Source organism: Homo sapiens, chromosome 3 (genome assembly GCF_000001405.40).
Source record: "Homo sapiens chromosome 3, GRCh38.p14 Primary Assembly".
Taxonomy (NCBI): Eukaryota; Metazoa; Chordata; class Mammalia; order Primates; family Hominidae; genus Homo; species Homo sapiens.
The window spans coordinates 33,431,610-33,455,629 of record NC_000003.12 but is presented as its reverse complement, the minus strand read 5'-3'; the positions used below and the strand labels follow the sequence as shown (position 1 = coordinate 33,455,629).

General features: G+C 45.9%; 1 protein-coding gene and 1 long non-coding RNA gene across 8 annotated transcripts in view, besides 12 other annotated features; one reads left to right on the top strand and one right to left on the bottom strand.

Annotated features, from left to right (window-relative positions):
• Positions 1–325: 325 nt before the first annotated feature.
• On the bottom strand, positions 326–9,077 carry LOC124909363 (uncharacterized). Its single transcript, XR_007095862.1, has 2 exons — positions 8,493–9,077; positions 326–2,594 (listed from the first exon to the last, which is right to left on the bottom strand). It is a non-coding gene; the product is annotated as an uncharacterized LOC124909363 (long non-coding RNA).
• Positions 6,992–7,491: an enhancer, noted in NCBI's record as "H3K27ac hESC enhancer chr3:33489631-33490130 (GRCh37/hg19 assembly coordinates)". NCBI's record gives its function as "activates a minimal SCP1, AML or CMV promoter by ChIP-STARR-seq in naive H9 embryonic stem cells {active_cell/tissue: H9 hESC(naive)}" and the evidence as "EXISTENCE:reporter gene assay evidence [ECO:0000049][PMID:30033119]".
• Positions 8,626–9,127: an enhancer, noted in NCBI's record as "H3K27ac hESC enhancer chr3:33487995-33488496 (GRCh37/hg19 assembly coordinates)". NCBI's record gives its function as "activates a minimal SCP1, AML or CMV promoter by ChIP-STARR-seq in naive H9 embryonic stem cells {active_cell/tissue: H9 hESC(naive)}" and the evidence as "EXISTENCE:reporter gene assay evidence [ECO:0000049][PMID:30033119]".
• Positions 14,231–24,020, top strand: part of UBP1 (upstream binding protein 1) — a 53,064-nt gene continuing 43,274 nt past the window's right edge. For 4 of the 7 annotated variants that reach the window (XR_007095724.1, XM_047448847.1, XM_047448846.1 and 1 more), the window contains exon 1: positions 14,231–14,953. Coding sequence is in view for 6 of the 7 variants with exons in the window: in XM_047448847.1 (XP_047304803.1) it covers positions 14,832–14,953 (122 nt within the window). In the remaining variant the exon portion in view is untranslated. Of the gene's footprint in view, positions 14,954–15,224; positions 15,895–24,020 lie in introns of those variants that run through there. The other 3 variants (NM_001128160.2, NM_014517.5, NM_001128161.2) reach the window with 2 other exon arrangements.
• Positions 14,247–14,536: an enhancer, noted in NCBI's record as "active region_19649". NCBI's record gives its function as "activates an Ori minimal core promoter by ATAC-STARR-seq in GM12878 lymphoblastoid cells {active_cell/tissue: GM12878}" and the evidence as "EXISTENCE:reporter gene assay evidence [ECO:0000049][PMID:35858748]".
• Positions 14,747–14,936: an enhancer, noted in NCBI's record as "active region_19648". NCBI's record gives its function as "activates an Ori minimal core promoter by ATAC-STARR-seq in GM12878 lymphoblastoid cells {active_cell/tissue: GM12878}" and the evidence as "EXISTENCE:reporter gene assay evidence [ECO:0000049][PMID:35858748]".
• Positions 15,087–15,246: a silencer, noted in NCBI's record as "silent region_14190". NCBI's record gives its function as "represses an Ori minimal core promoter by ATAC-STARR-seq in GM12878 lymphoblastoid cells {active_cell/tissue: GM12878}" and the evidence as "EXISTENCE:reporter gene assay evidence [ECO:0000049][PMID:35858748]".
• Positions 15,268–15,767: an enhancer, noted in NCBI's record as "H3K27ac hESC enhancer chr3:33481355-33481854 (GRCh37/hg19 assembly coordinates)". NCBI's record gives its function as "activates a minimal SCP1, AML or CMV promoter by ChIP-STARR-seq in primed H9 embryonic stem cells {active_cell/tissue: H9 hESC(primed)}" and the evidence as "EXISTENCE:reporter gene assay evidence [ECO:0000049][PMID:30033119]".
• Positions 15,268–15,786: a biological region, named in NCBI's record as "H3K27ac hESC enhancer GRCh37_chr3:33481355-33481854".
• Positions 15,307–15,416: a silencer, noted in NCBI's record as "silent region_14189". NCBI's record gives its function as "represses an Ori minimal core promoter by ATAC-STARR-seq in GM12878 lymphoblastoid cells {active_cell/tissue: GM12878}" and the evidence as "EXISTENCE:reporter gene assay evidence [ECO:0000049][PMID:35858748]".
• Positions 15,467–15,786: a silencer, noted in NCBI's record as "silent region_14188". NCBI's record gives its function as "represses an Ori minimal core promoter by ATAC-STARR-seq in GM12878 lymphoblastoid cells {active_cell/tissue: GM12878}" and the evidence as "EXISTENCE:reporter gene assay evidence [ECO:0000049][PMID:35858748]".
• Positions 15,986–16,220: a silencer, noted in NCBI's record as "fragment chr3:33480902-33481136 (GRCh37/hg19 assembly coordinates)". NCBI's record gives its function as "represses an EF-1alpha promoter that drives an FKBP-Casp9 reporter gene in an ReSE screen in K562 erythroleukemia cells {active_cell/tissue: K562}" and the evidence as "EXISTENCE:reporter gene assay evidence [ECO:0000049][PMID:32094911]".
• Positions 16,017–16,066: a silencer, noted in NCBI's record as "silent region_14187". NCBI's record gives its function as "represses an Ori minimal core promoter by ATAC-STARR-seq in GM12878 lymphoblastoid cells {active_cell/tissue: GM12878}" and the evidence as "EXISTENCE:reporter gene assay evidence [ECO:0000049][PMID:35858748]".
• Positions 17,019–17,313: a silencer, noted in NCBI's record as "tiled region #11903; HepG2 Repressive non-DNase unmatched - State 2:TssF". NCBI's record gives its function as "represses a minimal TATA promoter and a strong SV40 promoter by Sharpr-MPRA in HepG2 cells {active_cell/tissue: HepG2}" and the evidence as "EXISTENCE:reporter gene assay evidence [ECO:0000049][PMID:27701403]".

Below are 24,020 nucleotides of genomic sequence, written 5' to 3'. Positions count from 1 at the left end.
TGGGAGCAGTGGGTCACACCTGTAATCCCAGCACTTTGGGAGGCCAAGGTGGGCAGATCATGAGGTCAGGAGATCCAGACCATCCTGGCTAACACGGTGAAACCCCGTTTCTACTAAAAAATACAAAAAATTAGCCGGGCGTGGTGGTGGCACCTGCAGTCCCAGCTACTCGGGAGGCTGAGGCAGGAGAATGGCGTGAACCCAGGAGGCGGAGCTTGCAGTGAGCCGAGATCGCACCACTGCACTCCAGCCTGGGTGACAGAGTGAGACTCTGTCTCAAAAACAAACAAACAAACAAACAAAAAAAAACAAGACAAACTTCATATAGCTTCCACTGTTAAACTCTATTATGACTAAATACTACAAGACTTTAGTACATTATACCAAAATATATTTTCACCAAAAAAAACCTTTTCATAGTCCACTAAAAACCATCAAACCCTTCCTAATCTGAAACCCCAAAATTGGGTCTTCTACAGATGATATCAAAAAAAGACTACTCTTATCATTCACACTGCAACAAAACTTCAGGACCTCAAAATTTAAGTTCATAATATTACAACTCAGAAGGGCCCTTCCAGACTCTTTTTTTTTTTTTTTCGAGATGGAGTTTCACTCTTGTTGCCCAGGCTAGAGTGCAATTGTGTCCAGAATTGGTGGGTTCTTGGTCTCACTGACTTCAAGAATGAAGCCACAGACGCTCGCAGCGAGTGTCACAGTTCTTAAAGGTGGTGTGTCCAGAGTTTATTCCTTCTGATGTTCGGCTGTTTTCCTGAGTTTCTTCCTTCTGGTGGGTTTGTGGTCTTGCTGGCTCAGGAGTGAAGCTGCAGACCTTCGCGGTGTTACAGCTCTTAAGGCAGCGCATCTGGAGTTGTTTGTTCCTCCTGGTGGGTTCGTGGTCTCGCTGGCTTCAGGAGTGAAGCTGCAGACCTTCGCGGTGAGTGTTACAGCTCATAAAGGCAGTGTGGACCCAAAGAGTGAGCAGCAGCAAGATTTATTGCAAAGAGCGAAAGAACAAAGCTTCCACAGTGTGGAAGGGGACCCAAGCGGGTTGCCACTGCTGGCTCAGGCAGCCTGCTTTTCTTCTCTTATCTGGCCCCACCCACATCCTGCTGATTGGTCCATTTTACAGAAAGTCAGTCTGTTTTACAGAGAGCTATTGGTCCATTTTGACAGGGTTCTGATTGGTGCATTTACAATCCCTGAGTTAGACACAAAAGTTCTCCACGTCCCCACTAGATTAGCTAGATAGAGTGTCGATTGGTGTATTTACAAACACTGAGCTAGACATAGAGTGCTGATTGGTCCATTTACAAACCTTGAGCTAGATACAGAGTGCCGATTGGTGCATTCACAATCCCTTAGCTAGACATAAAGATTCTCCAAGTCCCCACCAGATTAACTAGATACAGAGTGCTGATTGGTGCATTCACAAACCCTGAGCTAGACACAGGGTTCTGATTGGTGTGTTTACAAACCTTGAGCTAGATACAGAGTGCTGATTGGTGTATTTACAATCCCTTAGCTAGACATAAAGATTCTCCAACTCCCCACCAGATTAACTAGATACAGAGTGCCGATTGGTGCATTGACAAACCCTGAGCTAGACACAGGGTGCTGATTGGTGTATTTACAATCCTTGAGCTAGATACAGAGTGCTGATTGGTGTATTTACAATCCCTTAGCTAGACATAAAAATTCTCCAAGTCCCCACCAGACTCAGGAGCCCAGCTGGCTTCCTGCACTGGGGCCGCAGGTGGAGCTGCCTGCCAGTCCCGCACCATGCACCTGCACTCCTCAGCCCTTGGGCGGTCGATGGGACCAGGCACCGGGGAGCAGGGGGCAGTGCTCGTCGGGGAGGCTTGGGCCACGCAGGAGCCCACGGCGGCAGCAGGGGAGACTCAGGCATGGTGGGCTGCAGGTCCCAAGGCCTGCCCTGCGGGGAGGCAGCTAAGGCCTGGCGAGAAATCGAGTGCAGTGCTGGTGGGGTGGGCCAGCACTGCTGGGAGACTCAGCGCACCATCCACAGCTGCTGGCCTGGGTGCTAAGCCCCTCACTGCCTGGGGCCAGCAGGGCAGGCCAGCCGCTCCGAGTCTGGGGCCCGCCAAGCCCACAACCACCCGGAACTCACGCTGGCCCGCAAGCGCCGCATGCAGCCCCAGTTCCCGCCTGCGCCTCTCCCTCCACACTTCCCCACAAGCTGAGTGAGCTGGCTCTGGCCTTGGCCAGTGTTCCCACAGTGCAGTGGCAGGCTGAAGGGCTCCTTAAGCATGGCCAGAGTGGGCGCCAAGGCCGAGGAGGAGCCAAGAGTGAGCGAGGGCTGCGAGGGCTGCCAGCACACTGCCACCTCTCAATCCCCCCTCTAAACAGGACACCCCAACTGCTGTTGGGAATTTGGCCGATGACTGCTCTAGCTACTTCCTGCTGGATAGAAGTGAAGAAGGGGCCCTGCAGTTGTAGTGTCCTCCAAGGGGGAACTCTCTAGGCCAGTGGAAGTGCCAGCGGGTCGGTCCAGGGGTCCTCGGTAGAAGTTGTTAGTTGAACTCATTTGGGGTTCCATTTGTAAGACCATCTGTAGCTTGATGGCTTCGATTCTAGAGGAAACAAATTTGACAAGAAGGTTAAAAATACAGGGCCCAAAGGCAAGTAACAGCAAGATGGCTGCCACGGGACCTAGAAAGGGGAGAAACCATGTTGCCCAACTCCAGAGGTTGGTATAAGAGTTTGAAAGGTGTGGTCTGATTTCAGAAGCCTTTTCCTGTAAATGTCGGGTGGCATCTCATACCATCCCCGACTGGTTAGTGTAAAAACAACACTCTTCCCCTAAGAAGGTGCAGAGTCCTCCTTTCTCAGCAGTGAGGAGGTCTAGGCATCGGCAGTTTTGTAGAGTCACTGCTGCCAAAGAGTCTATTTGGGATTGTAAAGTAAGAATAGATTTCGTTATTTCTTGCAAACTGTCTGAGAAATCCTTTGAGAGTGTGTGGTAGTAGGATAATGAAGCAGATAAACTGGCTATTCCAGTTCCTGTAGCAGTAGCCATTCCTAACCCTATAAGTAGGTGTATTAGTTGTATGGCTCTGCACTGATGGACTTGAGCTTTGAGGGGTACTGATAAGGTCTGATTTCCTGGGGCAATGTTAATGTTGGGACTTAGAAAGACTAAGGTGCAGGTGTCTGTCCAGTTAGTGGAGAGGCAGATATAGGTCGATGTTCCACATAAGAAAAATATGCCTTGGCTGGGTAGACAGAAATTTACCCTGGCTTTTAAAGGAATGGGATACACTGTTTTTTCTTTACTACTTCCATCTCTCTTTCTCTTTGACTTCTTCTTTGTCTCTTCCTCTCTTTCTGACTCTCTGACTTTCTGTGTCTGTCCCTCTTTCTCTCTGACTCCTTCTCTTCGTCTCTTTCTCTTCAACTCTCTGTTTCTTCCTCTCTGTTTCTTTTTCTGTCTCCTTCTCTTTGACTCTCTGTTTCTGTCTCTCTGTTTCTGTCTCTCTGTCTCTTCTTCTCTGTCTCTTTCTTTGACTTCCTGTCTCTTTCTCTCTTTCCTTGCTGCCTCTGCCAGCTGCTTATGCTGCTGTTCTCCCCTCTCCTTCCCATTTTGATGGCTTTGGCAGTGTAAGACTCCCACCTCTTTGGGTTTTTGCACTGTGTGCAATAACCCTATAATTTCCTTGTGGTATTTAATGGGGGTTCACCCAGAGGTTAGGAACTCCCTGTCTTTCCATATTGCAGCATGGGCATGTAGGATTAGATAAGCATACTTGCTATCTGTATACACATTTATTCTTTTTCCCTTTCCCAGTTCTAAGGCTCGGGTAAGTGCCACTAGTTCTGCTAACTGGGCACTGGTCCCTGGGGGAAGAGGCTTACTTTCAAGTATGGTTACCTCACTAACTATGGCGTAACCTGCCCTTCATATCCCATTCTCCACAAATTAACTTCCATCAGTATATAGGTTAAGGTCAGGATTAGTTAAGGGGAATGCTAAGAGATCATCTCAGGTGGCAGAAGTTTGGACTATAATTTGTTGGCAGTCATGCTCGATTGGTTCCCCATCCTCTGGGAGAAAAGTGGCAGGGTTGAGGGCCACGCATATGCATATTTGAAGCACCGGTCCCTTAAGGAGTAGCGCCTGGTATCTAAGTAGGCAGTTGTCTGATAGCCATAACTTCCTTTGGCACCTAGTAGGCCATTTACATCATGAGTAGTCCAGACAGTGAGATCCTTTCCTTGTATTATTTTGATAGCCTCTGACACTAAGATGGCCACTGCTGCAACTACCCTTAAACAGTGAGGCCAGCCTTTTGCTACCATGTCAATTTCCTTACTTAGGTATGCCACTGGTTGTGGGGTTGTACCGTGAGTCTGAGTAAGGACTCCAAGAGCTATCCCAGCTCTCTCTGTGACGTATAAAGAGAAGTTTTGTCCTGTGGGAAGGCTTAAAGCTGGAGCTCGTACTAGGGCCTGCTTTAAGGTTTTAAAGGCTGTTTCTGCCTCTGGTTCCCATTCTACTAGATGAGTATTTGCCTTCTGGGTTTCCTTGATTAGAGTATACAGGGGCCTGGCTATCTCCCTGCATCCAGGGATCCATACTCGGCAAAAGCAGGTAATTCCAAAGAACCCCCGCAACTGTTTTAATGTTTTAGGGCAAGGATAAGCCAGTATAGGCTGTATTTATTCCTTGCTGAGGGTCCTGGTCCCTCTGGCTAAGACTAGGCCTAGATATTTGACCTGATATAGGCAAAGCTGGGCCTTCGACCTAGACACCTTGTACCCTTGATTAGCTAGAAAGTTCAAGAGATCTAGAGTAGCCTGCTGGCACGAGGCTTCCGAACTGGTAGCCAAAAGTAAATCATCCACATATTGAAGGACCAGAGTGCCTGGACTTGAGAAGTGGCCTAGATCTTGGGCCAGTGCCTGACCAAACAGATGAGGGCTATCCCTAAACCCTTGGGGCAAGACCATCCACGTAAGTTGGGACATGTGGTCTGTGGGATCCTCAAAGGCAAAGAGGAACTGGGAGTCAGAGTGCAGGGGAATACAGAAGAAGTCATCCCTGAGGTCCAGAACCGTGAACCATTCTGCTTCCTCTGGTATTTGAGAGAGCAGGGTATAGGGGGTTGGGTACAACTGGATATAGAGGAATTACTGCCTCATTGACGAGTCTAAGATCTTGCACTAGTCTCCACTGACCATTTGGTTTTTGTACTCCTAGAATTGGGATGTTGCAGCGACTGCTGTATTTCCTTCCTAAGCCTTGAGCTTTTAAATGTTTAACAATATTCTGTAATCCTTTATGAGCTTCAGGCCTTAAGGGATATTGCCTTTGATAAGGAAAAGTGGTGGGATCTTTTAACCTGATTTGGATTGGGCAGGCATTTCTTGCCCTTCCAAATTGTCCTTCCAATGCCCAGACTTCGGGGTTGATTCCCTCCTCAAGTAGGGGACAACAAATGGGTAACTTGTTCCCCATATTCATGTAGATAATAGCTCCAGCCTTGGCTAATATATCCCTCCCTAATAAGGGTGTGGGAATTTCAGGCATAACTAGAAAGGCACGTGAAAAGAGCAAAGTCTCCCAATTACAGCTGAGGAGGTGGGAGAAATACCTGGTTACAGGCTGTCCCAGGATTCCTCAGATGGTAACGGACCTTGAGGACAGTCGTCCAGGACAGGAGATTAACACTGAGAAGGCCACGCCAGTGTCCAGGAGGAAGTCAATTTCCTGGCCCTCAATAGTTAAACATATCAGGGGCTCAGTGAGGGTGATGACATGAGCTGGCGCTTGCCCCGGGCACCCTCAGTCCTATTGTTGGATCATCTGGTTGGGGGCTTCTGACCCAGAGAACCTTCATCCTCTGGGGCAGTGCACCTTCCAGTGATTGCCTTGGCATAGTGGACATGGATGAGGGGGCAGCTTGTTTCTCATTGGACAATCTTTTTTAAAGTGTCCTAGTAAACCATACTGGTAACAAGTCTTACCGGGTGTTTGGCCTGCTCCATTTTCTGTCCTCTCTGAACCACCAAGGTTTGTTGGTCTGAGGGCCATGACTAAGGCTGCGGCCTTTCTCTGATCTCGCTTTTCCTTTTGGGCCTGTTCCTCTTGGTCCCTATTATAAAACACTGAGGTTGCCAGGTTTAATAATGCCTCTAGGTTTTGTTCAGGACCCAGGGCTTGCTTTTGGAGCTTTCTCCTGATATCTGTGGCTGATTGGGTAATAAACTTATCTTTTAGAATCAATTGACCCTCAAGTGATTCGGGTGACAGGGGAGTATATTTTCTTAAGGCCTCTCGTAGCCGCTTGAGGAAGGCAGAAAGATTTTCTTCCTTTCCCTGAGTTATGGTGGACATCACTGAATAATTCATGGGCTTTTTTCTAATTCTCCTTGGTCCTTCTAGAACACAGGTCAACAGATGTTTACGACTCCAGTCCCCATGATCTGCATCAAGGTCCCAGTGGGGATCCATAGTGGGGATGGCTTGCTGACTGGTAGGGAATTTGTCCCTTTCTTCAGCTGTCATTCTATCATTTACTGACTTAAGATACCAGGTATCTCCAAACTCTCAGTCTGCAGCTAAAGCCGCATTCTTTTCATTAAAGGCCAGGGTTTGATCTAACAGTAGCATGACATCTCTCCAAGTGAGGTCAAAGGTTTGCCCTAGACCCTGTAGGACATCTATGTACCTATCAGGATCATCTGAAAACTTCCCCAGGTCTGCCTTGATCTGTTTTAAATCAGAGAGGGAGAAGGGGACATGTACCCGGGTTGGGCCAAATTCCCCTCCCTGTACAGCTTGAAGGGGCCATAACCAATAGCCCAGGGGTTTTTGTGGTCCTTTGGAGATTTCTTTGCTTATTTCCTTCTGGGCAGGGGAGATTAGAGGAGGCTTATCATTAATAGGAAGGGGAGCTATAGGGAGGCTAGGATATGGGGGTAAGCTGAGAGGTCCTCCTGTGGGATGTAAATTGTAAGCTTTGCATAGTTGTGTATTCTCCCTCAATGAAAAGAAAGCTTGGACATAAGGTATTTCACTCCATTTGCTTTCCCTCTTACAGAAAAGGTCAAGCTGCAGGATAGTATTGTAATTTGTACTTCCCTTAGGTGGCCATTTTTCCCCATCAGAGAGAGAATATTGGGGCCAAGCCGTAGTGCAGGAAAAAATGAGCCACCTCTTCTTCAGGGTTTGTGGGTCAAATTGGTCCCAGTGGCTTAGTATGCATTTCAAGTGTGAGCCTGTTGATGCCTGAGTGTTTCCCATCTGAAAGACAAAACCGCCTGCAGTTTTGGTTTTTTTTTTTGTTTCTCCCCCTGCCCAAGAACCCTCAATGGTCCCTGGCCCCTGCTGATCTGAATAGTTGCGCTCACTGACGCAGCAGCAGAAACAACCCCTGTCCAAGAACCCGCAACAGTCCCTGGACCCTGCTGATCGGAATAGTTGCCCTCACCGACGCAGCAGCAGAAACGCTAGTTTTCCTCCCAGACCACATGGAGGACCGAGGAAGGTCAGATTTAGTGTCCCTTACTGACGCATTCTCGAAAACCTGCACGCTTGCATGTCCTCCTGGACCACAAGGAGGCCTGACCAAGAAAAATCGGATTTAGTGGCCCTTACCGACGCATTCTTGAAAACCTGTTAGAGTCCTAAGCATTGTCCTGTTAGTACTGGGGCTTTACCCCTCTCCTATAAAGATGTTATGCCCCAAAAATGAAGTGGAGGGCCATACCCTGTGGGAGGGAAGGGATCTCCAGGGTTGGAAGAGTGACGCCTTTTGTCCTCACTTATGTGAATAGGAAGGATACAATTTCTGAGGCTCCCCATATCCTAGCTTCAGGAATAGCTTTTGTTAGGCCTATTAGTCTGAGGAGGGATCCTAAAATTCCAGGTAGTCCCCACTATGACGGGCTTTGGGCAAAAATTATGTCTTTCTGATTGGGGAGCCCAGGTGCCTAAAGAAGGTAACAGAGTCCTGGAGTTTATACTAGAAATCATTCTTATAGGAGAAATGAGAAAAGCACCAGAGACAGGTAGCAATTTTTAGAAGTGGGACTAACCTCAGAGAAGAGAGGTGAGAGGAAGTTTGTCTGGCAGGCATTAGGACCCAGGGGGCAAGAGTCAGGATAGATAGGATAGATGGGCGAGTCTCGCTTGGGCGACATGCCTTTGAGAGTTCTGCTCATGGCCCCAGGGTCAACCAACTTGTTGTCAGGACCCTGGAGTTGCATACTTTCCTCTCTGTCTACCCTCGGCTCAGCCCAGAAGTACAGGAAAAGCGGAAGCTGGTTTTAGGCAAACCAACGCTCCCAACTCCGAAGAGTCAGGGGTTGTTAGAGAGCCCTTTCTCAGAAAGCCTGACACCCATGTCTTTAGTCCGGCGGCCGCGCTAGTCACTTTTAACTGGCTGACAGATGCCCAGTATTTAGCCCCCAAATTCTAAGGAAAAATAGGACAGAATAGCAAGCGAAAGGGGTCCGATGGTACTCACTGCTTGGCGATAGGCGATTGTTTTGCTGCTCAGCGATAGACGATGGTCTCACCACTTGGCGATAGTCTCACCGCTTGGCAATAGGTGATAGTCCCTTTGTGGTTGCCAAAATGTGTCTGGAATTGGTGGGTTCTTGGTCTCACTGACTTCAAGAATGAAGCCACGGACCCTCGTGGTGAGTGTCACAGTTCTTAAAGGCGGCATGTCCAGAGTTTGTTCCTTCTGATGTTTGGATGTGTTCAGAGTTTCTTCCTTCTGGTGGGTTCGTGGTCTTGCTGGCTTAGGACTGAAGCTGCAGACCTTCGCGGTGAGTGTTACAGCTCTTAAGGCAGCACATCTGGAGTTGTTTGTTCCTCCTGGTGGGTTCGTGGTCTCACTGGCTTCAGGAGTGAAGCTGCAGACCTTCGCGGTGAGTGTTACAGCTCGTAAAGGCAGTGTGGACCCAAAGAGTGAGCAGCAGCAAGATTTATTGCAAAGAGCTAAAGAACAAAGCTTCCACAGTGTGGAAGGGGACCCGAGCGGGTTGCCACTGCTGGCTCAGGCAGCCTGCTTTTCTTCTCTTATCTGGCCCCACCCACATCCTGCTGATTGGTCCATTTTACAGAGAGCCGCATGGTCTGTTTTGATAGGGCACTGATTGGTCCATTTTGACAGGGTGCTGATTGGTGCGTTTACACAATGGCACGAGCTCAGCTCACTGCAACCTCCACCTCCTGGGTTCAAGCACTTATCCTGCCTCAGTCTCCCAAGTAGCTGGGATTACAGGCATGTGCCACCACATCCGGCTAATTTTGTATTTTTAGTAGTGACAGGGTTTCTCCATGTTGGTCAGGCTGGTCTCGAACTCCTGACCTCAGGTGATCCACCCACATCAGCCTCCCAAAGTGCTGGGATTACAGGCATGAGCCACCACGCCTGGCCCAGACTCTTAAAACTATATACCCATTAGAGACCTAAAACTAACAAAAACAAAAAACCAACCAGAAAAAAAAAAAAAAAAAAAAAAAAAAAACTTTCTCTGAAAACAGACAACATCCTAGACATGGACAACTTTCCCAAGATCACAAATCAAGACTTCTCTACCATCATGAGACTCTTACCTCTTAATTTTTTCCTTACATATGCCTCTATAGACAATAAAAATAAATAAAAGTCTTATATGCACTCATAGAATATAGTTTTATTTATAAAAGATTTCAAAGCCAGTCTTCTAACAAACAACCTTGTGCCTTAATAAATTAAAAAATAGGCTGGGTGCAGTGGCTCATGCCTGTAATCCCAGCACTTTGGGAGGCCAAGGCAGGCAGATCACGAGGTTAGGAGGTCGAGACCATTCTGGCCAATATGGTGAAACCCCGTCTCTACTAAAATACAAAAAAATTAACCAGGCATGATGGCGGGCACCTATAGTCCCAGCTACTCAGGAGGCTGAGGCAGGGGCATCACTTGAACCCAGGAGGAGGAGGTTGCAGTGAGCCGAGATCGCACCACTGCACTCCAGCCTGGCAACAGAGCAAGACTCTGTCTCAAAAAAAAAAAATTAAACAATTAAAAAACCCCAATATAGATAACTGATGTTAATACCTTTATTACCTCATAATCAGTCAAAAACTTTAGTCCACTCCTCTTAACCAATATCATAAATTTAAAAAAAAACATTGCCAGGAGGCCTTCAGTCTTGTAGATACAGACATCATTTATTGTCTCTTTTTCCATAATTTAGAATAAATGAAGCAATGATTAGAAATTTATCCCTCATGGCCAGGCATGGTGGCTCACACCTGTAATCCAACACTTTGGGAGGCTGAGGCGTGTGGATCACATGGTTAGGAGTTCGAGACCAGCCTGGCCAAAATGGTAAAACCCTGTCTCTACTAAAAACACACACACACACAAAAAAACAAAAAAACCTGGGCATAGAGGTGCACGTCTGTAATCCCAGCTACTCAGGAGGCTGAGGCAGGAGAATCACTTGAACCCAGGAGGTGGAGGTTGCAGTGAGCCGAGATTGTGCCACTGCACTCCCGCCTGGCAACAGAGTGAGACTCTCTCAAAAAAAAAAAAAGGAAAAAAAAAGAAATTTATCCCTCATGGCCGGGCGCGGTGGCTCACACCTGTAATCCCAGCACTTTGGGAGGCCGAGGTGGGTGGATCTCCTGAGGTCAGGAGTTCAAGACCAGCCTGGCCAACATGGTGAAACCCCATCTCTACTGAAAAAAAATATACAAAAAATTAGCTGGGCATGGTGGCGGGTGCCTGTAATCCCAAAAACTCAGGAGGCTGAGGCAGGAGAATCACTTGAACCTGGAAGGCAGAGGTTGCAGTGAGCCAAGATTACACCATTGCACTCCAGCTTGGGCAACAAGAGCAAAACTCCATCTCAAAAAAAAAAAAGGCCGGGCATGATGGCTCACGCCTGTAATCCCAGCACTTTGGGAGGCTGAGGTGGGCGGATCACAAGGTCAGAAGATCGAGACCATCCTGGCTAACATGGTGAAACCCCGTCTCTACTAAAAACAGAAAAAAATTAGCTGGGTGTGCTGGCGGGCACCTGTAGTCCCAGCTACTCGGGAGGTTGAGGCAGGAGAAAGGCATGAACCCGGTAGGTGGAGCTTGCAGTGAGCCGAGATCGCTCCACTGCACTCCAGCCTGGGTGACAGAGCAAGACTCCGTCTCAACAAGTAAAAAAAAAAAAAAGAAAGAAAAAGGAAATTTATCCCTCATAGTAGACTCTATAGCTGACTCTACTGCAAAGGCCATGGCACAACAGACTTTAAGTTCTCTTGCTAAAGTTGTGCTAGATAACGGAATTGCTGTATATTACTTACTGAGATACAGAGAAGTATGTATCTCTGTATGCAGATACTTCTCTGTATCTGCATACAGAGAAGTATGTATCTCTGTATGCAGATACAGAGAAGTATCTGCAGTTGCTCACACTTCTTGTTGCACAGAGATGAACATATCAGGTATTATAGAGATTCAGTTACAGGGGATTAATAAACAAGCTGCTTGGTTAAAACAGCTTGATCTTTTATCTAGCTCTTTCTTTGATCTATTTGATTTTAGTTAGTTTAGTTCATGTTGACCCTGGCTAAGGGGCATACTCCAAAGTCTTGGTATTATCCTCTTGGTAATCTTAATAGTAGTCTCCTATGTGCACTAAGGACTTTCAAAAGTTTTAAATGTTTACATACAATCATCCATAAAATGTCCATAAAATTTAAATAAATAAAAATTCCAACATAATAAAAAAAAAGTATCCTCTACTCTAACGCTTACCAGAAAATAACCTAAAGTCCTTATTCGCACCTTACAAAACCCACTGTTGTACTATTTCCCAATGGGATTTGCGACCAGATAAGTACATTTACAATGGTCAGAAAGTAATGTCAATGTCTAGGATTTTGGTCAACCTCTCTATTTTGGTCAAGTTGAGAGGTTGAACAAAAGGGGAGAAATTGTTAAATTGAGTTTAGCCTAAAGTTGCCTCCTTATAAGTTCAGCCTAAAGGTTTCTCTGTACACAGTAAATTGTAACCTAACTGGATGTATAAATGGTCTATAACCTATTATAACAATCGCTGAGTTTTGGCTAATTACAGGAGGCCAACTGTTCAAATAATACACTCAACCAATCAAGCTGTTTTTATATCTCACTTCTGTTTTCCGTACATCACTGTCCTTTTTCTGTCCATAAATCTTCTTCCACCATGCAACAGTGTTGGAGTCTCTCTGAACATATTCTGGTTCGGGGTGGCTACCTGATTGACAAATCTTTTTTTTGCAAAATTAAACTCTTATATTTAATTTGTCTAAAGTTTTCTTTTAACACTATCCTTCTTTTATATTTTGGTCTCTTTATGACATTACTATTTAGCGCTGCTTGATACTTCTATTTTTTTTCCAGACAGGGTCTCATCTGTCACCCAGGCTAGAGTGGCATTATCATGGCTCACTGCAAGCCTTGACCTCCTGGTCTCAAGTGATCCTCCCACCTCAGCCTCTGGAGTAGCTGGGACCACAGGTGCAGGTCACCATGTCTGGCTAATTAAAAAAATTTTTTTGGCCAGGAGCGGTGGCTCATGCCTGTAATTCCAGCACTTTGGGAGGCTGAGGCAGGCAGATCACGAGGTCAGGAGATCGAGACCATCCTGGCTAACACAGTGAAACCCTGTCTCTATTAAAAATACAAAAAATTAGCCTGGTGTGGTGGCGGCCGTCTGTAGTCCCAGCTACTCGGGAGGCTGAGGCAGAAGAATGGTGCGAACCCCGGAGGCGCAGCTTGCAGTGAGCTGAGATCGCACCACTGCACTCCAGCCTGGGCAACAAAGCAAGACTCTGTCTCAAAAAAAATTTTTCTTTTGTAGAGGCAGGGGTCTCGCTCTGTTGCCCATGCTGGTCTCAAATTCCTAGCCTCAAGAGATCCTCCCCTCTTGGTCTCCCAAAATGTTGGGATTACAGTTGTGAGCAACCATGACCAGCCAACACTTTTATTTCTATCCTCCAGAACTCTAATTTTTTTTTTGTTTTTTGTTTTTCGTTGTTGTTGTTTGTTTTTCTAAGGACAGGGTCTCATCTTGTCATCCGGGCTAGGGTGCAGTGGCACAATCATAGCTTACTGTAGCCTCAAACTCCCAGGCTCAAGTGATCCTCCTGCCTCAGTCTCTCTCAAGTAGCTAGGACTACAGGAGCGTGCCATCATGCTCAACTAATTTTTTTTTTCTTGTAGAAGCGGGATCTTGCCATGTTGCCCAGGCTAGTCTCCCAATTGCTGGCCTTAAGCCATCCTCCCAAGCTTTAAGTCTTGGTCTCCCAAAGCGCTGGGATCATAGGCCTGAGACACTGCCCAGCCTGAGGCTCAATTTCTAAATATTTGACCCAGTACTTCCTTAGGGCACAGCCTGATTGAAAAATTGATGGTAGCTTGTACTTTTACACTCTCTCCAAAAACCAGAGAATTATCTTCCCCCAATTCCATTTCTCCAAATTTTCCAACAACTAATAGTAGGCCTGGCTAATCTGGTTATAGACTAGGTTATGCAAGTGAGGTGAGATCATGGAATGAAGACATATCTGAGACCCCCAATGAGACCAATGTTTCCCTTGACTATCCAATTGTTTGTGCAGATTTATTTGTAATAGTGGAATGGAGCTTCCTGAACTGATGGCCAATCTAATGTTTTCGCCTGGAATCAGAGAAATCTGGATTAGTCAAATAGCCCCGGTTTACCTGCTTACTGTGTGACCTTGCACTGTGTAATCTTTACACATTTTCACCTGAATTACCTCATCTCTAAAGTATGGCTTTATCAAATGAAATGTTTGCAAAAATGTTGTGTAAAGAGAAAAACATTCTCCAAGTTAATTTGTGGTTTTTTTTTTTGGAGACCGAGTGTTGCTCTGTCTTCTCCCGGGTTCAAGCCTTACTCCCGCCTCAGCCTCCTGAGTAGCTGGGATTACATGGGCGCGCCACCACATCCAGCTAATTTTTGTTATTTTTGGTAGAGACGGGGTTTCACCATGTTGGCCGGGATGGTCTCCTGACCTCAACTAATTCACCCGCCTCGGCCTCCCGAAGTGCTGGGATTACAGGCGTGAGCCTGTAAGTTAGTATCTAAATCACACAGGCGTTGAGACTATTTTTTTCTGGCTCAGTGCCACTGCTTTATTAGGCTGACATTTTAATCTATGTATTTTTGCACTTAAACTGGCAAGTTGGGGCGGGGCGCTCAGCATTTGGGTCTTATTCTTAGGCAGTAAGTTCGATGCAGGGCGAAGCCCGGGCCTTGACGTTCTCTTCAGCAAGGATTCCGCCCGTCAAGCGCCAGCAGCCGCTCCTAAGGAACTCTGATCCGCACACTGGCTCTGTAAGTCAGCCTCTGGCTCCTGCTTTCTATTTCATCTCTTCCGGTAAAAAGATTTCTGTCTTTTGGCCGCAGTGGCGCGTGCCCACGCTAGGTCGCTGAGGAAGACCCTTCGGGCCTTCTGAGCAGCGTAGCTGTTACTGTGGCACGTCCTAATGGTTCGGTCCAACTTCAGGAGACCGCCTGCCCTTAGGATGACCAACAGCTAGTTCAACTCAGGATAGCCAAGCTGCTCTCGGCAATGCAACCAATAGGGGAAGTCTTTCCAGAGCTCTTTCTCAGGAGCGTTGATTGGCTTATTCTCACGCCAATCAAGGTTTTCTGCACAACTGGCTTTTCTGTCACCAGATGGGGTGCAAACCGCTCACTCCCTCGGTAGAGAGGGCATAAAGCAGAGACGACCGGGAAATACCACAGAGGAGCAAATCACCTCCGGAAGTGGCGTTTTGGGTCGCTTTCTACCATGCAGTCCAATGAACTCTTTCTTTTGGCAACAAATTCCGTCTTCGAGCCCGCCCAAGGTGAAGAACATTTTGATTGGTTGTTTAGTCGGGGGACACAGAGACTCACGGGAGCTTCGTCCAAGCCCTTGCAGGTATTGCTCAGTTGGCCTGTCAATCATCTCGCTCGCTAGAAGGGGCGGAAACTGGCAGCCCTTTTGGCACCGCCTCTTCCTGGGCTGCTGTGCGGGGACGCAGCGAGGCCACCCCGGCTGGGAACAGCCGCGTGGGCGGGGCCGCATTGCACTCTCTGGACAGTTCCTGGGCCGCGAGGCGCGGGGAGTGGCCCTAAGCGCGGGGCTGTACGGGGAGGGCCGAGGCGTGGGGCGAACGCCGGGGCGGGGTCGGGGCGGGGCCGGGGGAGGCGGAAGCGGCGCGTGAACCTAAGTCGGAGTCGCGTTGAAGCCAGCGTCCGGCCGGCAGAGCGGCGTCGGCGGGGTTGGCCGGGGCGGTGTGGCGCTAGAGCCTGGGCGGGCCGGGGGCAAGGAGTCAAGGCTTGGGGGCGGGTGACGGGCGGGCGGAGGGCTTGCCCCCGTGTGGTCCTCGGAGCGGCCCGAGGTCCAGCCTCCCAGCGGTCCCGGAGGAGGATGCGACCGGGGGGCCCCGGGCGGGGCGGTCGGCGGCGGCTGCAGCGCTAGCGGCGCGGGGGCTGGGCGGCGGCGCCGGCATGAGGCGCAGGGCCGGTGTCCGCGGGAGGGTGGCGCTGCCGGCGGCCCGGCCGCTCCCGCTGCAATTGCTCGCTGGGCTCGTCGTGCCCTGCCAGTGGGGCCCCCGCAGCTCTCGTCCCGGCCGCCGCTGGTGACCACTCGCCGCCCCTCCGGAGGCTTCACCCGCGCCCTCCCCCAGGACGCGCCAGCGGAGCTCCGGCTCCTTCGCCCTGGACGCGGAGGCCGCGGTGTGCGGGGCGACGGCGAGGCCGGAAGATGGCCTGGGTGCTCAAGATGGACGAGGTGATCGAGTCCGGGCTGGTGCACGACTTCGACGCCAGCCTCTCGGGCATCGGGCAGGAACTGGGCGCCGGCGCTTACAGCATGAGGTACTGGGCTCCCTGGGCGGGGAGAAGCCTCTGTCTCCTTGGGGAAGGCCTGCGCAGCCCTGAGTCTCTGCCAGATGCGGCTGCTCCCAGAGGTGCGCGGGCCTCCTGGGCTGCGGGGTCGGAGTCCTGCCGCGTGGCGGTCGGGGGCCATGGAACCCCAAAGGCCTCTGCTCGCCCTGGTGACGGGCGGGTGGGGGAGGATGGCCCCGCAAGCGTCGGCCTCGGACCGCTCCTGAGTGCTTCATATTTGCTGTAAAACACGCCCAGCTATTAGGATGGCTTGGGTTGGTGGGGGAAGGGGCTTCTTTTCCTTATAAGTGATTTACAAGTCCCATTGGAGCTAGAATACACTGTACGAAAAGGCAGCACTTATATTGGGAGAATACTGTCTAGCGTTTTGGGATCAGTTCCTACTTTGTTGTCCTACATTATGATCTTTTCTGGCTGCAGATTTTAATCACTTGATGTTAGTAAATTATAATTGAAAGAGCAGCGGTGGGAGTAGCACTGTGACTTCGTTTTGTTCTTTTGATTGTCTCAAAGTGAAGTTTCTCATTTTGGAGACTACCCTCTCAGGCTGTTTCCTCTTGAGGGTTTTAAGATGCAGTGATTGCACCACAAATAATTGTTTAGTCTCTGCTGTCTGTACCAGCAGTCATTCATTTTAATATGGAGAGATTGAAACAGATCTGAGCTTAGTCTCCGCCCTTTATCCTTTTTAACTGTTAGGAATTTGGAAACTCTGTATTTTTTTAGTGGCTTTATTGAAATATAGTTTACCATAGCGTTGACTTGACTAATAAAGTCTAAAAATCAGTGGTTTGGCAGCTTTTCAATAATGTGAATTAAGTGTAGCTTTCTGTTCTTTAGAAAATGTCTGATGTTTTGGAAGTGCTCTACAGTTTCCCAGTAGCATTCATACATCTTACTGCAGCTCTAGAGGAGGACTTCTGGGTTAAAGCTGGCCTGGAATCTTGGTGGCTGCTCCTTGAAGTAATTGGGTCTTTAAATCTTAAGGAGAAATTCTGAGCCATAAAGAACTCTCAGAAAGGTTGGAGACATTTCTTGGAGTGTGGAAGTGAGTAGTGGAAGGCATATTAAACCTGGAGTTCCCCAGCGTCTGGCTCTGATTTGGTCTCTGTTGGGCTTCCTGAACTTGGCACCTCTTCTCTCTGCAGTTGTATAACTTAAGGCCTGTAGATGAGTTGGCTTATTTTCTAAAACAGCTGTTTCAGTTGTTGAGGAAATTGAGCTACTGAAAGTCATGGAGTCACCCCAGAGGGGAGTATTAGAGGCAGTGCTTCTCTAGTGAAAACGCACTCCTCTAGTGCCATTCTGCTCCTTAGCTCTCTACTGGAAACACGAGGCTTATAGTCAAGGCAAAGGAGGCACGTGAAGCAAGTTCAATATGTGTCTCTCCTCAGTTGCTTCTCTTTTATGGTAAAATGAAAGTTTGCTGCTGAAAAGTTTACTTATTGATAGCTATTTTGAGCTTTTACTTTTTTCTAGGGTTTTATTTGACCTGTACTTTGATTTAGTGATTCAGCCAACTTATTAATGTAATAACTTCTGTGTATGGTTTATTTCCATGAAAAGGAAGTACAATCTTGATGATTTTAAACCTTTCCCTGACCATGTATTTTTAAAGTAATGTGTGAGATCTTTGTAATTCTGTGTAACCTACAGTACTCTTTACAGGGATAATTTTCCCTTGAATTCTTTTTTGGTTGTGTCATTTAATCTAAATTTTCAAAGAAGTTTGAAGGTAATTACCATTTTTAAGAAGGTTTTTTTTTCGTATTTAATTGAGTCCTCAAAAACTAAGAGATGAGAGTGCTTGCCTCTTGCAAATTCAAGGCCCTTTGTTTGAAATTCTCAAACTAAGGAAATTCCAAAATTGACTCGATAAGGAGAAAATCTGAAGAAGGCGTTAGCTGCTGCAGGCCTCCCTGGACTGCAGTTGTACTTTCCATGCCTGGCCCTGGAGCCCTGAGAGGGTTGGAGTGCCTATGAATGGCCAGCTTGAGCATTCAGTCACTTCCTCTGGCATCCAGTGGGAAGGAAAGCTTATCTTTCAAAGTTCAAGAAGTAAACTTGAAGAAATTACTGGAAAAATGACTTCTTGATACAAATTGATTTTGTAGGCAGCTTTCTATTTTTCTTTCAAAATGAAACATGCTTACTGTATTTGCTTTTTGGATGGCTTAAAACAAGAGGTATTTCTTAAAAGACTTCTCTTAGGGAATGGTTTCCTCATCTTTTGGGAGGATAGTTTGAAAGGAAGAAATGGCTTCTGTCAGTGGTCTGACTTAAAATTAGGCAGGTGTGATGTTTGGTATGCTTGTAGACCTAGCTACGTGGGAGATTGCTTGAGCCCAGAGGTTCAGGGGTGTAGTGTGTGCTATGATTGCACCTGTTAATAGCCACTGCATTCCAGCCTGGGCAAGAATGAGACCCCCTTCTCTTTTGTTGTTTCCCCCCACCCCTTTCTCTTAAAACAGTAGGAAAAATATGTTTGTGTAAAATAATGTAGGCTGGTAATATTGGGAATATATTGGGGCTAATTACTAACATTACCTTTGCTTCTCTTTTTCTTTTGGCTCTGGTTCTCATGTGTTCTGTGTGTGCTGTTGTATTATACTTTTTTGTTGTTGTTTTTGTTTAGTCTTTTTTGGTGGTTATATTTGGATGTGAGATGTGAACTGCAGCAGATTCTATTTGAAATGAGGCAGGTCATAAATGTTTTTAAAAATCTTGGTTACAGTAACAGGATTTTAGAGATGGATAGAGACCTTCCTTAGAAACCTTTTAGAGTCTAGACCACTCCTTTTCTTATACTGTAAATGCATTATCTGAGGGTCATAGATGTTAAAGTGATTGGCTTAAACAGATGAAGGCTGATTTTTCCCCCACACAGAGTGAAGACTGAAACTCATGGTAACTTGAAATCTGGGTCATTCTCGTTTTGTGAAGTATGGAGTAGATAACCAAATGACTTTAAAAAATAATACTCATTAAAACTCAAAGAGGGTCTTTGGACCACCTGGTAATTTTCTTTCCATCTCACTGTATGAAATTTATCATCTGTAGCCAAGTTAATTTTTAGGATTTGGGGGCTCAATATTGAAATATTTTTGAAGGTTATAGGAAGTAATGGCTTGTATAGCTTACTCTTTTAAAAATTTTGATATTAAATTATTACTTTAAAAAAGGTATTGTCTGAGCCCTGTTTGTTAAACTTCGCTGTGGTATAAATCTCTTGAAACAAAAGATATACATTATGTATTTTGAAATGGGAGGTACATCCATAGTTTACAAATAATTTGCTAAATCAAAACTGCTTTGAGCTAATGACAGATTTCCTATGTTGATTGAAAGGTAAAATGTTTATTTAAGAAATCTATTGTACAACAAGGTTACTGTAGTTAATGATACAATGTATTCTTGAAAAATGCAAAGGGTGGATGTTAATGTTCTCACCACAGTGATAACTGAGGTAATACGTTTGTTAATTGGTTGAATTTAAACATTGGACAGTGTATATATGTCAAAACATCGTGTTGCACATGGTAATGTACACTATTATCTGTCACTTTTTAAAAAGTTAAAAAAAATTAATGTTATAGATCCTGTAAGGTAACAGAATTTCAACTTAGATCAGTATTAAGTTAGTACAAGATTAGCAAGGGTAGGGTTTATTATGTAGCTATTAATAATTGATGATTTTCTTTTGGTCTCATGCTAAAATAGAATGTCCCTGAGTAGGTGATATATATCTTGGAAGTACAGATGATCTCCAACTTATGATGGTTTGACTTAAAATTTTTGTTGTATAAGCCATATTCATTCAGTAGAAACACCTTCAGTAGACACTGTATGTTGTATTTTGAATTTTGGTCTTTCCCAGGCTCCTGATACATGGTATGATGCTCTCTTGTGATGTTGGGCAGTGGCAGTGAGCCATAGTTCCCATTCAGTATACTGTGTTGCCAAGTGGTTTTCCCCGACTGTAGGCTAATCTAACTGATCTGAGCATGTTTAAGGTAGGCTAGGTAAGCTATGATGTTCAGTAGGTTAGGTGCATGAAATGTTCGTTTGAGACTAGGTCTTGCTCTGTCACCTACACTGGAGTACAGTGGTACAATCATGGCTCACTGCAGTCTTGACTTTCCTGGGCTTATGCAGTCTTCTCACCTGAGCCACAGAGTAGCTGGAACTACAGGCAGTGCCACCATGCCTGGCTAATTTTTAAATTTTTATTTTTAGTAGAGATAAGGTCTTGCTATGTTGGCCAGGCTGATAAATTTATCTTTGATTTATATTTTCAACTTACAATGGGTTGATTGGGACTTTATTATATGTCGGGGAACATCTGTGTAGAACAATTTTAGGATTAGTGAAATTTAAAAATGGGTTCTTCAGAATACTCCCAGAATTGGCAGTAATTTCTGTTTTTTTTCCTTAGAATCTTTTCATGAAGCAATTTCTATAAAACTTCTAATTTCAAGGTTTAACAACTTTTTCCTGGATTTAATCTTGGCTGCAGTACAGGAAATGATTTAATAAATTAACTCATTTAAAACATTTATTGATTTAAGATTATAGTGTCCACATTTTAAAATTTATTACTGTAAAGCTAAGGTTGGCAAACCTTTCTGTAAAGGGCTAGGTAGTAAATATTTTAGGCTTTGTGGGATGTATGGATTCTGTCACATTTTGTTTTTTACAACCCTTTAAAAAATGTAAAACCAGATCGGGCGCCATGGCTCACGCCTATAATCCCAACACTTTGGAGGGCCAAGGTGGGCGGATCACGAGGTCAAGAGATCGAGACCATCCTGGCCAACGTGGTGAAACCCCGTCTCTACTAAAAATACGAAAATTAGCTGGGCATGGTGGCGCATGCCTGTAGTCCCAGCTACTCGGGAAGCTGAGGCAGGAGAATCGCTTGAACCCGGGAGGTGGAGGTTGCAGTGAGCTGAGATCGCGCCACTGTGCTCCAGCCTGGTGACAGAGAGAGACTCCATCTCAAAAAAAAAAAAAAAAAAAAAAAGTAAAACCATTCTTACCCCATAATTGTGTAAAAACGGGCTGGTTGGATTTAGCTCTTAGGCCATAGCTTGTCAACCCCTGCTCTAAAGGATAGAGTCACCGAGCGCAGTGGCTCACGCTTGTAATCCCAGCACTTTGGGAGGCTGAGGCAGGTGGATCACCTGAGGTCGGGAGTTTGAGACCAGGCTGGCCAACATGGTGAAACCCCATCTTACAAAATTAGCTGGGCATGGTAGCGCATGCGTGTAATCGCAGCTACTGGGAGGCTGAGGCAGGAGAATTGCCTGTGCCCGGGAGGCGGAGGTTACAGTGAGCCGAGATTGCTCCACTGCACTCCAGCCTGGGGTGACAGAGCAAGACTCTTTCTCAAAAAAAAAAAAAAAAAAAAAAAAAAGGATTTGCTGACTACTGAAACCTTACTTTCAAGAAATTATTTTTATGTAGTCTAAGAACTGTCTCAGCTAATTTATGTAATTCCATTGTTTGTCTATAGATTTTTATTGTGTTCAGTTTTTAAAATTAGGGTTCCCCCGCCCCTGTAAGATATAGTACAGTTTATATCCTTCAATTAGGACTGTTTGAAACTTGGTGGTTTATTGATATGGTCTCCTAAACTTGATGTTTCATCATAGTGGCATTTGTTGGTTTGCCAGTACACATTTAAACGTTTGCTTTGGCTGGAAATACCATCTGATGCTTTTTTCTTTTTTTTTCTTAGCTGTAGGTTCTATGACTGATACTATTATTATTATTATTTTTAGAGACAGGGTCTTGCTTTGTTGCCCAGGCTGGAGTGCAGTGGCTATTTGCAGACTTGATCACTGCACACTACAGGCTCTAATTCCTGGGCTCAAGGGATTCTCCTGCCACAAACTCCCAAGTAGCTGGACCCACAGGTGGGCCACATGGTGCCCAGCTTCATGACTGAATTGAAAGGAGGCTCTGTATTATTTACTTTGCTTGTTTTGGGACAGATCTAATAGATGAATATGAAATTGTCAGCCTTTGGTGGTAGAGTCTTTTTTTTTTGAGATGTGGAGTCTTGTTCTGTTACCCAGGCTGGAGTGCAGTGGCACTGTCTCAGCTCACCGCAACCTCCACCTCCCAGGTTCAAGTGATTCTCCTGCCTCAGCCTCCTGAGTAGCTGGGATTACAGGTGCATGCCACCACGCCCAGCTGATTTTTGTATTTTTAGTAGAGGTGGGGTTTCACCTTGTTGGTCAGGCTGGTCTCGAGCTCCTGACTTCGTGATCTGCCCGCCTCGGACTCCCACGGTGCCCGGCCTATGGTAGTCTTTTTTTTTTTTTTTTTTTTTTTTAAAGGCTGGGTGCGCGGTGGCTCACACCTGTAATCCCAGCAATTTGGGAGACTGAGGTGGGTGGATCTCTTGAGGTCAGGAGTTCGTGACCAGCCTGGCCAGCCTGGTGAAACCCCGTCTCTACTAAGAATACAAAAATCAGCCAGGCATGGTGGCATGTACCTGTAATCCCAGCTACTCAGGAGGCTGAGGCAGGAGAATCGTTTGATCCCGGGAGGTGGAGGTTGCAGTGAGCTGAGATCGCGCCACTGCATTCCAGCCTGGGCGACAGAGTGAGACTCCGTCTCAAAAAAAAAACAAAAAACTCTGAGTTTTTTGGACATTGTGAAATTGTTGCCTTGATATGAACTATGACAAAACTAGTTATTACTCATTCATGTATTCATAGTTGAACTTTTAACTTAAAACTCTTCATTTTGAAATTTTTCAAGTTACAAAAGTAGTATGGAGAGTTCACATGTACCCTTCACCCAGCTTCTCCTACTTATACAACCAGAGTACTATTGTCAAAATCAAGAAATTAGACTTGGTGCAATACTGTTATCTAAATTACAAAATTTATTTGGAATTCACAGTTGTCTCCCTTTTGTCCTTTCAGATTCCAATCCAGGATTCTGTATTGCATTTAGTTTTTGTGTCCTGTAACAATTTTTAGTTTTTCCTTCTTTTATGATTTTGACACTTCTGATGTGTAGTGGTTAAAACTGTTTTAGAAACATGTAATTTTTTGGTGTGGGTGGGGAATGCAAAGATGAGACACACTTGTGAATGCTATTTAGCCTTGAAAGGATCTCTTATTTTTAGCAGTGATTTTGAGTAGAGTAGGACCACAGTTGCTTGTATTTGTTTAGTTACTACTTTGTCTCAATTTATCTAAATATAAATAGGATGCTGTATATGTTGTAGTAACTTCATAATGTGAAAGTATCAAGAAATTTGAAAACATTAAAAAATTTATTTAGAATAACAATTACAAACCATTGTGTTTTAACCAAAAAATTTTTTTAAATTAAAAAACTTTGCCAAAACAGAGAACTTAGCCAGAAGAGGGTCACACTGTGTTACCCAGGCTGAAGTGCAGTGGTGCAATCATGGCTCACTGCAGCCTCGACTTCCTAGGCTCAGGTAATTCTCCTACCTCTGCCTCCCTAGTAGCTGAGTTTATGAGTATGCGCCACCATGCCTGGCTAATTTTTTTGCTATTTTTTGTAGAGACGGGGTTTCACCATGTTACCCAGGCTGGTCTCTGGGCTCAAGCAGTCCGCCTGTCTCGGCCTCCCAAAGTGTTGAGATTACAGGTGTGAGCCACTGCACCCAGCCAGTTTTAACTTTCTTTGGATGAGTAAATGTTTGACTATACATGTAATTTATTTAATGGATATGAGAGTATTCAGATTTTGTTAATAGTGGTTGGTTCATGACCTTGGCTGTCAAGTATGTCTTTCCTGCTGCTCTGTAGTTTATACCATAACATTCTCATCCATTTCCTCCCCTACTCATCTAGAAAGCTTAATGACACCTCCTCAGCCTCACAACTCATCCTTGCCATGCCTATTTTCAACTGATTCCCTTAGTTATTTACTGGGAAAATGGAGCTGTCTTTTTTCGTTTTTTTTTTTTTTCTTTGAGACGGAGTCTCACTCTGTCGCCCAGGCTGGAGTGCAGTGGCGCAATCTTGGCTTACTGCAACCTCTGCCTTCCAGATTCAAGCAATTCTCCTGCTTCAGCCTCCTGAGTAGCTGGGACTACAGACGTG